General features: G+C 47.4%; 1 pseudogene, besides 1 other annotated feature; it reads left to right on the forward strand.

Moving 5' to 3' along the window:
- Positions 6,276-6,776: an enhancer, noted in NCBI's record as "H3K4me1 hESC enhancer chr5:177393237-177393737 (GRCh37/hg19 assembly coordinates)". NCBI's record gives its function as "activates a minimal SCP1, AML or CMV promoter by ChIP-STARR-seq in naive H9 embryonic stem cells {active_cell/tissue: H9 hESC(naive)}" and the evidence as "EXISTENCE:reporter gene assay evidence [ECO:0000049][PMID:30033119]".
- On the forward strand, positions 11,220-13,861 carry SUDS3P1 (SDS3 homolog, SIN3A corepressor complex component pseudogene 1; annotated as a pseudogene).

The raw sequence follows: 14,504 nt of genomic DNA on the forward strand, positions 1-14,504 counted from the left end.
CGCCCAGCTAATTTTTTGTGTTTTTAGTAGAGACGAGGTTTAGCGTGTCTATGTGACACCCCAGGATTTTAGCAGATACACAAGTGAAAAACCATGTTGCTAAAAAGTATTTCCCATCTTCCAATTTTCTTATCATCATCTTGGAAATAAAATCTGTACGTACTTGGGAATAAAATTTATTGAATTATCAAAAATATGTATGCTAATGTATGTGAGTCATTAGCTATATCCACATTGACATAAAATTTGTGAAGACTCTTCAAAATCTCTTAAAGATTTATTTGGCTGGGCGCGGTGGCTCACGCCTGTAATCCCAGCAGTTTGGGAGGCTGAGGCAGGCGGATCATGAGGTCAGGAGATGGAGACCATCCTGGCTAACACGGTGAAACCCCGTCTCTACTAAAAATACAAAAAACTAGCTGGGCGTGGTGGCGCGCGCCTGTAGTCCCAGCTACTCGGGAGGCTGAGGCAGGAGAATGGCGTGAACCCGGGAGGCGGAGCTCGGAGTGAGCCGAGATCACGCCACTGCACTCCAGCCTGGGTGACAGAGCGAGGACTCTGTCTCAAAAAAAGGAAAAATAAAAACACGAGAACGTACTGCAGGAGAAAACAGGCCTGGCCTGAGACGGCTGTGCCGGCTTTCTGAGGCCGTGAATGGCAAGACCTCGAGACTGTCAAGAGGAGCAAGAGGAGTCGGGATTTAGCGTCAGTGATGAGGTGCGCCACTCACTGTGTGACTTCAGAGTGTTTCTGGGGAAAGAAAATGAAGTCCTGTGAAGTATGCGGAGCACCCTCAGCAGCAGCCGTGGATCTGAACAGCCTCCCAGACACAGACGCCATGGGTGTGAAGTGTGTCAGGAACAAGCGAAGTCACCCACAATGGAGAGGAACACCCTAGTGTGCTAGAACTTTTGAACCACTTTTCCTCCTGTCTTGGGTCAGGCCTCATAGCTAACCCTTTGGTGCGCGGTACTCTCTCTGGCTATTGGAGAGATGTGAGAAGCTTAAGAAAAGCAAATGAGAAGACGTGGAGCAGGCAGATGGCCGGTCCCCATGGAAGAGTCCCCATTGTGAGGCCTCCCTGGGGATCTGGCGGTGGCCACAACACACTGGCCGGTGAGATTGGTTGTGATTGTCATTGTTGTGGAAAATGATTATCATCTGTCCTCAATGGTGCCAATGCTGACTCACCTGGAGGTGGAATGATGGCCATGGTGACACTGAGGAGGGAGCGTGGCAGAGGGAATGATGGCCGTGGTGACACTGAGGAGGGAGCGTGGCAGAGGGAATGATGGCCGTGGTGACACTGAGGAGGGAGCGTGGCAGAGGGAACGATGGCCATGGCTGACATTGAGGAAGGAGCTGGCAGAGGGAATGATGGCCGTGGTGACACTGAAGAGGGAGCGTGGCAGAGGGAATGATGGCCATGGTGAAACTGAGGAGGGAGCGTGGCAGAGGGAATGATGGCCGTGGTGATATTGAGGAGGGAGCGTGGCAGAGGGAACGATGGCCATGGTGACACTGAGGAGGGAGCGTGGCAGAGGGAACGATGGCCATGGTGACACTGAGGAGGGAGCGTGGCAGAGGGAACGATGGCCATGGTGACACTGAGGAGGGAGCGTGGCAGAGGGAACGATGGCCATGGTGACACTGAGGAGGGAGCGTGGCAGAGGGAACGATGGCCATGGCTGACATTGAGGAGGGAGCTGGCAGAGGGAACGATGGCCATGGCTGACATTGAGGAGGGAGCGTGGCAGAAGGAACGATGGCCATGGTGACACTGAGGAGGGAGCGTGGCAGAGGGAACGATGGCCGTGGTGACACTGAGGAGGGAGCGTGGCAGAGGGAACGATGGCCGTGGTGACACTGAGGAGGGAGCGTGGCAGAGGGAACGATGGCCGTGGTGACACTGAGGAGGGAGCGTGGCAGAGGGAACGATGGCCGTGGTGACACTGAGGAGGGAGCGTGGCAGAGGGAACGATGGCCGTGGTGACACTGAGGAGGGAGCGTGGCAGAGGGAACGATGGCCGTGGTGACACTGAGGAGGGAGCGTGGCAGAGGGAACGATGGCCGTGGTGACACTGAGGAGGGAGCGTGGCAGAGGGAACGATGGCCGTGGTGACACTGAGGAGGGAGCGTGGCAGAGGGAACGATGGCCGTGGTGACACTGAGGAGGGAGCGTGGCAGAGGGAACGATGGCCGTGGTGACACTGAGGAGGGAGCGTGGCAGAGGGAACGATGGCCGTGGCTGACACTGAGGAGGGAGCGTGGCAGAGGGAACGATGGCCGTGGCTGACACTGAGGAGGGAGCGTGGCAGAGGGAACGATGGCCATGGCTGACATTGAGGAGGGAGCTGGCAGAGGGAACGATGGCCATGGCTGACATTCAGGAGGGAGCGTGGCAGAGGGAACGATGGCCGTGGCTGACATTGAGGAGGGAGCTGGCAGAGGGAACGATGGCCATGGCTGACATTCAGGAGGGAGCGTGGCAGAGGGAACGATGGCCATGGTGACACTGAGGAGGGAGCGTGGCAGAGGGAATGATGGCCATGGTGACACTGAGGAGGGAGCGTGGCAGAGGGAATGATGGCCATGGCTGACATTGAGGAGGGAGCTGGCAGAGGGAATGATGGCCATGGTGATATTGAGGAGGGAGCGTGGCAGAGGGAATGATGGCCATGGCTGACATTGAGGAGGGAGTGTGGCAGAGGGAATGATGGCCATGGTGACACTGAGGAGGGAGCGTGGTAGAGGGAATGATGGCCATGGTGACATTGAGTCAGCACTTATTAGGTTCCACGTGTACATGGTCAAGTTTTCCTGTGGTTTTTCTCAGAAAGGAGCCATGATCCTGCAACAGTGAAACAGGAAAAGTGCTAACAAAACTGACTCCATTTTTATTTAATGGGCTTTTTCTCATCCCTGCATATAAGCTAGCATAATTTTAGAGCGCTAAGATAAAACGCAAAAGCGGTAATCATGTAGTTTTTGCAACTAACTGTGGGATTAATGGAAAGTATGTAAACAGCTAACTGTGGTTTGTTAAAGATTTATAGGAGCATTGTGATCTGACCAAGGAGAAAGAAGGTCCCAGCCTCCTGGGACCATTGCTGGCACCTGGATGTGTGAGGTAGTCAGGTACCTGTTGATCCCAACCCTCTCCTCTTCCACCCTCCGTTGAACCAGATAAGCGCTTGTCAGTGCTGTTTTGGGAGTATTCTGCCCTGTGGTTAAATAGGTGTGAGTGCTGGAGAGTCCTGCAGCAATCTGGGGCTTTCTGGTGCTGTGAAGACAGTTACTCTAAAAGTCCTGATGCCATCTCTGCACTTGGGTACAGTCGTGTGACTCTGGGTTTATGACAGATCCTTCAGCTACCCTACCTGCCACTCCATATCTGCTGAGATTTTCTTTCTTTCTTCTTTTGTTTTTGTTTTTGTTTTGGGACGGAATCTCGCTCTGTTGCCAGGCTGGAGTGCAGTAGCATGATCTCAGCTCACTATAACCTCTGTCTCCAGGGTTCAAGTGATTCTCCTGCCTCAGCCTCCCGAGTAGCTGGGATTACAGGCGCCCACCACCACATCTAGCTAATTTTTGTATTTTTAGTAGACACAGGGTTTCACCACGTTGGCCAGGATGGGTCTCGATCTCTTCACCTCATGATCCGCCCGCCTCGGCCTCCCAAAGTACTGGGATTACAGGTGTGAGCCACCGCGCCCAGCTGAGATTTTCATAATGTGTTTGAGACATGCTGTTTATTTCTTCTTTTTTTTTTACTTTTAATTGAAATATTGTATACATAGCAAAAAGTCATTCCTGTCATAAATGTACAGCTCAATGAATTTTCATGAAATTTAATCATTAACCAGATTGAAATGAAAACCACAACAAAACCCATGACTGGAAGCCATCCCCGATAAGTCTTCTGCGGCCAGCTTCCTGTGGTGAGCCTCCCCATCAAGGGTAACTGCAGCCTCCTTGGAAATAAAGGAGATCAGGACTCCTTTTGTGTGAGCTTCATTTACTCTGTTTTGCGAGATTGGCCCACGTTGTCGCATGTGTTTAAGGATCTGTCCTTCCCGCGGGGACATAGCGTGCCAGGGCTGAAATGTCCTAGAATCTGTTCACAGGTTCTACTGTCAGTGAGGGTTTGGGTGGTTATGGCTTTGGGAGGTGATGAAAGTGCTGCTTTCCTGTGAGTGTCTTTGGGGAGCACACACGCTCTTTTCTGCCGGATATTCTCCACCCAAGGGGTCGCCGGTCATCGCAGATGTGCTTGTCCACTTTCAGCAGCTACTGACAGAGTTTCCCAGGTGGAGCGTGCAACGGATATCACGCCAGCTGAGGAAGACAGTTTGGTTGCTCCCCAGCCTCTCCAACAATTGGTATTTTCTGATGTCTTCATTCTGGCCATGCTGAGGGATGCATTAAAAGCACATAGAAAGTCCAGATGCCTCTGGGCAGCTCACAGATTCTGAATGTTGGGAGACAAGGACAACTGTCAATCTCTGTCAGTGCTAGGACTGATTCTCAGTATCTGACCCAAAACTAGGAACTGAGGCGATGGTTTGTGGTATTCGATAACGTTGTCAGCATATGCCCTAGAAGTGCTCAAATCCTGGCACATACACAACCTAGGGACGGGACAAACGTGAACTCGGCATGGTCGGTTATAGCTTGCGTCTAGCACCTTGTTTTTGCAACTCTCATGTCCAGCTGGGGTGGGGCCATGCACGGGCAGCATCCCGATGTCCCACCACCGCCCCGTCCACCCAGCTCCTCCAGAGGATGAATTACAGTGGCTTCCTAGTGGCAGGACAGATGAGGGGTCCCATCTAATGCCAGGTTAAGATTGTCTTTCTTTTTCTGAGGTAGAAGTGGTGCTTTGCTGTTTTATCAATTGAGTTCAGTTATGGAAACGTGGCCACATACATTACAGAGGTTAGCGGCTGTTTCCTCAAGGGCTTGGGAAAGAAGTCTCTTACCAAACGAGGCCTGATTCAGGAGGGCACATAAGCTGGGTTGTGTCAGGTTCTTCACTGTGCATAGAGAGCCTTTTCCTCAGTAGCAATTATTTCCTCCGTGGGTTAATAATTTTGCAACTGCTGATTGAAATAAACATGACAGGCCGGGCGTGGTGGCCTATAATCCCAGCACTTGGGAGGCCTAGGCGAGTGGATCACCTGAGGTCAGGAGTTCATGACCAGCCTCGTCAATATGGCGAAATCCCATCTCTACTAAAAATGCCAAAATTAGCCAGGCGTCGTGGCACATGCCTGTAATCCCAGCTACTTGGGAGGCTGAGGCAAGAGAACTTCTTGAACCCGGGAGGTGGAGGTTGTAGTGAGCCGAGATTGCACCACTGCACTCCAGTCTGGTTGACGGAGACTCCACCTCAAAAAACAAACAAACAAACAAAAAAAACAAAAAACAATAGACATGACAGACACATTCTCCAGCAAAAGTCTGCCCTATGACAGGAGTAGGTTTTCTCTACCCTTGCTTTTAGATTCCTTTGACTTGGCCGGGCACAGTGGCTCACGCCTGTAATCCCAGCACTTTGAGAGGCCAAGGTGGGCAGATCATGAGGCCAGGAGATAGAGACCATCCTGACCAACATGGTGAAACCCCGTCTCTGCTAAAATACAAAAAATTAGCTAGGCGTGGTGGCACGTGCCTGTAGTCCCAGCTATGCAGGAGGCTGAGGCAGAGAATTCGCTTGAACCTGGGAGGCGTAGGTTGCAGTGAGCCAAGATCACGCCACTGCACTCCAGCCTGGGGGACAGAGCAAGACTCTGTCTCAAAAAAAAAAAAAAAGAAAAAAGAAAAAAATAGATTCCTTTGACTTGACCCCTATTTATCCTCTTGTTTTATAAAGTCAACAGGAAGAAACAAACAAACAAACAACAAAAAAAAAAACCCACCTGTGCTTAGAGAACACATCGGAACCTATGGTACTGTAGTGCCTTCTTTTCTGTCACTGTAGGTGGCCTCAGAGGGGAAAATTCATGCATATTCTGCATGTGCCACTTGTGAAGGAGAAATCTAGATGATAGGGAAGGTGAGTCTTCCTTGCTGGCTTTCGTCTGGGGAGCCACCCTGACTCCAGCTTTCTGGTTAGAATGAGGATTGGTGGTGATGAAGGAACATTATTTTCCAGGTAAAGCACTGTGACCGTGTTTCCACAAGCAGTTGCGTTTCCTTTAGCTGGTATGAGTTTGTGCGCGTGGGCGGTGGGGTGTGTCTGTGTGGGGTGGGATTTGTGTGGGGCGGCCGTGTGTCTGTGCCCACGTCTGTTTCCGCTGGTGTTATACTCCGCCTAGACAGCAGAGTTGCAGGTGTAAGCTTTCTCAACAAGGAATGCCGTCCCCATTACTCCACAGCGTATATGTGGAGCCTAACCGGGTGGACTGCAAGGCAGTTCCGACCCTCACCACTCAGGGTTAGCACCAGATTCCACAACTCCAGAGCTGAGTCCCACAAAACTGCCCTTACTTCAGACACCAGCTGAACTTTGGGAGTCCCCAAGCCACCTGCACTTCTGACAAACTGGCTATAAATTCAAGGATTACCATGACTTCCTCAGGTTCAAAACTTCACTAGAAATGACTCAGAGAATTCAGAAAAGGGCTATATTTACAATTTGATTAGAAATGATCTGCATAGAGCAAGGCGTATGGGGCTGGGGGGTCCTGGATGCATGGCTTCCATGCCTTCTGTCTGGGGAATCGGGTGGCGTGCTGGGGGTGGGTTCCAGGTCACAGTTGGATTCAAAGGTTTCTTGATTGGCAGTTGGTTGAAAGGGTTAAACTCTGTCTTAAAAGTTGAAATCAGCTTCAATTAGGTAACATGGTGTGGTCGGGGGTGGGAGTTTGGGAAGTTGTGGGAGCCAAGGTTCTTGTCACGTAAATGACACTTCCAGGCAGAGGGCTTCAGAGAGGATAGACGTAAACGTCTCTTATTGGACTTAAAAGGTAACAGACTTTCTGGAAAGACCTAGTGATGGAGCCATATGCTCTACAGATTGCAAATTTCCCACAAAGAGACAGCTGTGTTGGGCCATTCCAAAAAATGTCAGAGAAATCTGTCTCGGGGTAAAATACTCAGACTTCCTTCAGGACCTGCTTTCAGGTGATGCTATACCAGAGCGCATTGGAAGTTGGGTATCTTATTGCTACAAGGCGTTTCTTCCGTCAGTCTTAGGATCTCTATTTTCATGTCACTGCTGCTCAGTTGGGTCTGAACCACAAAGGGTGGAGGGAATACTGAGGCGTGCCCGACCCCTCTTCTCCCTCATGGCCTGAATGAAGTTTTCAGGTTTATTTGGGTCCCCTTGGCTGAGAGGAGGATCCGTTCAGTTCATTGAGGGGCTTAGAAATTTAATTTTAATTTACATTGTAAAGTGTAAACATATACAATGTTGATCAGTTATACCTGAATAGAGCTGAGGGAAAAGAGAATAAAAGGAACCATGACTAACAACAATGAAAAGAAATGGAAGCTGAGTCACATTTAAAATATTTATTAATCTGTTTTCAAATAACAGAAACAAGACCATTACAGAGCAACATAAATAGCATCTTTTTGTGAAAAATATTTTCCAAAGCAAAAGTGATTTGTGGGAAAAGTGGCATTGCTTTCCCATTCTCCGAGAGTCTGTCACATCTGACAACAGGAGCTGGGACCCTGTGCCTGCCTCAGTCGGGGCACCGCACTCCCCACAGCACACAGCCTCTGGGCACTTGGCCAGGCATAGTAGCTCATACTTGTAAACCCAATTTTTTCCTTCCTCCCTCCCTTCCTTCTTTCATCTCTCTCTCTCTCTCTCTCCCCCCGCTTTTTTTTTTTTTTTTTTTAAGATGGAGTCTGGCTCTGTTACCCAGGCCGGAGCCTAATCTCGCCTCACTGCAACCTTTGCATCCCAGGTTCAAGCAATTCTCCTTCCTCAACCTCCCAAGTAGCTGGGATTACAGGCATGCAACGTGATGCCCAGGTAATTTTTGTATTTTTAGCAGAGACGGGGTTTTGCCACGTTGGCCAGGCTGGTCTCCAGCTCCAGATCTCAGGTGATCTGCCTGCCTCGGCCTCCCAAAGTGCTGGGATTACAGGCATAAGCCACCACACCTGGCCCCAGTTTTCAATCATAAGGTACTATTCCCAAAATATGAAATGCTAAATGTCTCATATCACCTTTGGCATTCAAATGTCCAACATCTCAGCGTTTTGTCTTATTAAAGACTGCAAAAATGTACAAGACTTTAAAACCATGAAATTAACTAAGTAAAACTAAGGAGACCCAAATAAAATTCAATGTACTTAAGGTTCAGTGCAGCTATAACAGAATATCTAAGACTGGGTAATTTTATTATTATTATTAATTTTATTTTTTTTTTGAGACAGAGTCTCGCTCTCTCACCCAGGCTGGAGTGCAGTGGTGCAATCTTGGCTCACTGCAAGCTACGCCTCCTGGGTTCACGCCATTCTCCTGCCTCAGCCTCCCGAGTAGCTGGGACTACAGGCGCCCGCCACCACGCCCAGCTAATTTTGTGTATTTTTAGCGGAGACAGGGTTTCACTGTGTTGGCCAGGATGGTCTCAATCTCCTGACCTTGTGATCCGCCCGCCTCGGCCTCCCAAAATCCTGCGATTAGAGGCGTGAGCCACCGCACCAGGCCAAGACTGGGTAGTTTATTTTTAAAAAAGAGGCTTTTTTGGCTCAATATTCTGGTGACTGGAAAGTCTGAGATTGGGCAGTGCACACGGTGAGGGGCTTGTGCTGCTCCAACTCCTGGCAGAACGTGGAAGGGGAAACCAGCACAGGCAAGGAGAGCACATGGCAAGAGAGGAAGCAAGAGGGTCCAGGAAGCCAAACTCACTTCCATAACACCCCACGCCTGGTAACTCATCCAGTCCCACGAGACAGCGTTCATCTATTCATGAAGGGTCTGCCCATCACCCAAATACCTCCCACTAGCCCCCACCTCCCACCACCACCACATCGGGAATCAAATTTCAACATGTGTTTTGGTGGGGACAAACCACATCCACACCGTAGCATACACCCCACCCTGTGGGGCCATGCTGCTGTGTCCTGCCCCTCCCAGTTGCTGTGGCACCCTAGCCGTTGGGGCCTGAGCTGATTTGTGCCCTGCTTTCCAGAGAATCAATGCCTTGGTCAGCCAGAGAAATCACAGTCCCTAATGCAAGAGCTGAACAAGTGCCTCACTTGATGGGAAGTCCCCAGGCTGAGCTGAGACGGATGGAAAAGAAAGCTCCTCTAAATAATAAAGGCCGCCTCTAAAAAACCCACAGCTAACATCATAATCAATGGGGAACAATTGAAAGTCTTTCCACTAAGATTGAGTTCAAGACAGGGATGCCTAGCCTTGTCACTTTTATTCAACATGGTACTGGAAGTACTAGCAAGAGCAATTAGACAAATTTAAAAAAAGGCAACTAAAAAAAGAAACAAATTATCTCTATTTGCAGATGACATGATCCATATGAAAAAACCTCAGATTTCCCATAAGAAAATGTTAAAACTAAATGAATTCAGTAAAGTTGCAGCATACAAACTCAACATACAAAAATCAGGAGCGTTTCTATACACAAATAACAATCTAGCTGAAAAACAAATCAAGAAAACAATCCCATTTACAGTAGCACCAATCAAAATAAAATACTTAGGAATAAATTTAGACAAGAAGGTGAAAGACTAGTACACTGAAAACTATAAAACACCGATGAGAGAAATTTAAGAATACACAAACAATGTAAAAACATCCCACATTTCTGAATTGGAAGAATTAAAATTGTTAAAATGGCATACTATCCAAAGCAAATATACAGTTTTTAAGACAATCCCTATCAAAATTCTAATCGCATTTTTCACAGACATAGAAAAATACAATCCTGCAATTGACATGGAACCACAAAAAACCCCAAGCTAACACAATACAGAGGAAAAAAATTAGTGCTGGAGGCATAACACTACGTGATTTAAAATTACATACAAAGCTATAGTAATAAGAACAATATATGGTATTGGCATCAAAACAAAAACATAGACCAATGGAACAGAATAAGAAGCCTAGAAATAAATCAAAACATACACTGTCAACTAACTTTCAACAAGAGCAACCAAGAGGACACAGTGGAAAAAAGACAGTTTCTTCAATAAATGATGCTGTAAAACTGGATTTTCACAGGCCAAACCATGAAATTGGGCCCTTATCTTACACCCTATAGAAAATCAACTCAAACTAGATAAAAGACATAAATAAGATATGAAACCATGAAACTCCTAGAAGAGAATGTAGGGGACAGCCCCCTCGACGCTGGCCTTAGCAATGATTTTTCAGATAATCCACCAAAAGCCAGGCTGCATGCAAAAGTCAACAAGGAGGACCGCATCAAACTAAAACCCTTCTGTGCAGCAAAGGAAACAATCAAAAAAAGGCAACCTACAAACTGGGAAAAATATTTGCAAGTCACTAACTGATCAAGGGCTAATATCCAAAATCAATGAAGAACCCTTACAACTTAAGCAGACAAATAACCCTGTTAAAAAGCTAACAAGAGACCTGAACAGACATTTCTCCAAAGACGACAAAAACAATCAGCAGGAAGTGGGGAGATGAAGGCCAAAACACGCAAAGTAGCAGACGTCGGATGAACAAGGCCAGAGACCTAATGTATAACATGAGGACACTGTCTTGGGATTTTTGTTGAGTAAGTAGATTTTCGCTGCCCTTGACACACAAAAAAGTACCTATGTGAGATGGTAGGTATGTGAACTTGCTGACTATAGTAACCATTTTACTACTGACGTGTACCTTTGACATCATGCTGTCACCTCAAATATACACAGTAACATTTAGTTTTAAAAAAGAAAAGTTTGGCCAGGAGTGGTGACTCATGCCTGTAATCCCAGCACGTTGGGAGGCTGAGGTGGGTGAATCAACCTGAGGTCAGGCGTTTGAGACCAGCCTGGCCAACATGGTGAAACCCCGTCTCTACGGAAAATACAAAAATTAGCCGGGTGTGGTGGTGGATGCCCGTAATCGCAGTTATTCAGGAGGCTGAGGCAGGAGAAGTGCTTAACCCCGGGAGGCAGAGGTTGCAGTGGGCTGAGATTGCGCCGCCGCTCTCCAGCCTGGGTGACAGAGTGAAACTCCATCTTGAAAAAAGAAACAAAAAAGTTGGCGGGGGGCGGAGCTCGGCGGAGACGGGAAGGGGTCGCAGTGGCTGCCGCTCCTCGAGTTGGGGGCCCCCTCGGACACCGCCAGGCAGACGGCGAGTACCGAGCGTGGGTGGCCGCGGTGTCCGTGGGCCACGCTCAGCTGCGGTCAGAGGCGACATGAGCGCCGCGGGGCTGCTGGCCCCGGCCCCGCCCGGGCTGGAGCGTCCCCGGGGAGGACGAAGAGCTGGAGAGCGCCAAGGACGACGAGCGCAGCTGCCGGGCCGCGAGTCGGACGAAGACACTGAGGATGCTAGTGAAACTGACCTGGCAAAGCATGATGAAGAAGACTATGGGGAAGTGAAGGAACAGATGTATCAGGACAAACTGGCTTCTCTCGAGAGGCAGTTGCAACAACTACAAGAAGGTACATTACAGGAATATCAGAAGAGAATGAAAAAACTAGGTCAGCAGTACAAAGAGAGGATACGGAATGCTGAACTCTTCCTCCAGCTGGAAACTGAACAAGTGGGACGAAATTACATGAAAGAAAAGAAGGCAGCAGTGAAAGAATTTGAAGACAAGAAGGTTGAGCTGAAAGAGAACCTGATTGCTGAGCTAGCAGAAGAGAAGAAAATGATTGAAAACGAAATGCTGACAATGGAACTGAATGGAGATTCTATGCAGGTGAGACCTATCATGACCAGAAAGTTGCGGAGGCGACCAAATGATCCCGTCCCCATCCCAGACAAGAGGAGGAAACCTGCTCCAGCCCAGCTAAACTATTTGTTAACAGATGAACAGATCATGGAGGATCTGAGAACATTAAATAAGCTTAAGTCACCCAAGAGACCAGCATCTCCATCCTCTCCTGAGCACTTGCCTGCGACACCCGCGGAATCTCCAGCCCAGAGGTTTGAAGCTCGGATAGAAGATGGCAAACTGCACTATGACAAAAGATGGTACCACAAGAGCCAGGCCATCTATCTGGAGTCAAAGGACAACCAGAAACTGAGCTGCGTGATCAGTTCTGTAGGAGCCAATGAGATCTGGGTGAGGAAGACAAGTGACAGCACCAAGATGAGGATCTACCTGGGCCAGCTTCAGCGCGGGCTCTTCGTCATCCACCGGCGCTCAGCTGCTTGACTTTCTACAGTGCTCTTCTCTTGACCCTTTTTCTGGAGTGGGTTTTATTTTTGTTTTGTTTTGTTTTCTTCTTAACAGAAAAATGTTAACTTACTGGGAGTAGCTACTCAGCCTTAGAAATGGAGAGCATTGTAGTGGATTCTTTAAGGCACTTTTGTGGCCAGCCCCTTCCAACTTCCTCAGTCTTTTCTGCCTCAACTTCTTCCAGACATCAGTCACCATGAGACTGTTTTACTTTCAGGAGTATTGGGGGGTTTGATTTACTTTCCTTTTATTTCTTTGTTTTTTGCTTATACTTGTTTTTGAAAACCTCCTCTGAGTTTGAAGGGACAGCTATTTTTATTAATTATCTTTAAGTCTCTCTGCCATGGAGAAGAGCAGGAAGGCATACACTGTCCAGTGCATTTTCATTAGTGGATCACGTAGCTACTTTCCCTGTCGAGTCCAATTCACTATTTCCTCAGAAGCTTGGGGCAGAGGTCCTAGCAGAAGGAGATGAATTCTCCTGGCTCTCAGCCTTCTTGGAGAAATAAATGCTTTGTGTAACATCTGTGCACACCATCCATTCCACTGGCTGAGCGATGGAAAAGCTTGCCTGGGAGACTCTGTGCACTGAAGTAAATGGGGTTGGGGGAGGGGACATTTCATATTTATAATGTGCTGAAGGTACCATATTTTAAATGTTATTTAATGCGGTGATTTATTCAAACATTTATTCTAGCTTAAGCTGGAATAAGAAGTGGTCATTTCAGAAGTTTTCATTTGTAATTCCTTCCTCTCCCTTGTTCCCAAGTAGGTAGTAGTAGTATGTGCCACAGGCTGATTATCTGGGTAATCTCTTATGGGTGGGAGGTGAGATTGATAGTGCAGTAATCAGTGATCTATAGACCCGCATGCACGATTCAAGTTTCACTCTTGTGGCTGATGCCATCATTGCACATTGGCCATTCCAAACCTGCGGAGAACTTTGTTGTCAGGCCCTCAGCACTCAGAGCTTCATTTGGCCCAGGTTGAAGACAAGGAAAGCTCTGCCGTGGCTGCCTCTGCACTGACACCCTCCCTAATGAGTCCTGATGAAACAGCCTTTCCTACATCCTTCCCTCATTCCCATGATTGGAGAAATGATTCATTGGGTGATGAGTGTTGGGGTTTTCCATACTCATGTTGCCATCTTGAGATGTTTAAAAAATTTGGGGTTAGAGCAACTGTTAGCGTCTCCATGGGCAATCAGTAGAACTTACACATTCCAGGAAATCTTTCTTTGTAAATAATTCTTTTGGTCTCAAGTGATTCCCTTCAAGTTGTCTCTTGATGTACAAACCCCAAAGCAAGTTGGGGGGCTGTGATGACAATTAAATCACCTTCTCTGAAGTTCTGGCTCTACAGAGACCAGAACTTACTGACTTGTGCAGACTTGTACAAGTAAAGACTTATACAGATAGATTTTTGTTTTAACTTATAATCTGTTTTTTCCTCTTTTTTTTTTTTCTGGTGTTGGAGTCCTATTTAGAAAACAGGATAAATGACGCTGTTATAAAAAAAAAAATTATCTCCAATCGAGAGAAAACCACTATTACCATGTTTTATGTTCCTTTCCAAAATATTTTATGAATAAAAATTGTTCAAATTTATTTTTATTTTATTTTATATATATATTTTTATTATACTTTAAATTCTAGGGTACATGTGCACAACGTGCAGGTTTGTTACATATGTATACATGTGCCATGTTGGTGTGCTGCACCCATTAACTCGTCATTTACATTAGGCATATCCTAAGGCTATCCCTCCCCCCTCCCCCCACCCCACAACAGGCCCCGGTGTGTGATGTTCCCCTTACTGTGTCCAAGTGTTCTCATTGTTCAATTCCCACCTATGAGTGAGAACATGCAGTGTTTGGTGTTTTGTCCTTGTGATAGTTTGCTGAGAATGATGGTTTCCAGCTTCATCCATGTCCCTACAAAGGACATGAACTCATCCTTTTTTATGGCTGCATAGTATTCCATGGTGTATATATGCCACATTTTCTTAATTCAGTCTATCATTGTTGGACATTTGGGTTGGTTCCAAGTCTTTGCTATTGTGAGTAGTGCCGCAATATGAGACCTTATACCTGAAAATTCGAAGCATGTAACACATTACCTATAAAAGTGTCTGATCTCCTCTTTTCCTGTTTGAATGCC

Source organism: Homo sapiens, chromosome 5, assembly GCF_000001405.40.
Source record: "Homo sapiens chromosome 5, GRCh38.p14 Primary Assembly".
NCBI classification, from domain to species: Eukaryota; Metazoa; Chordata; class Mammalia; order Primates; family Hominidae; genus Homo; species Homo sapiens.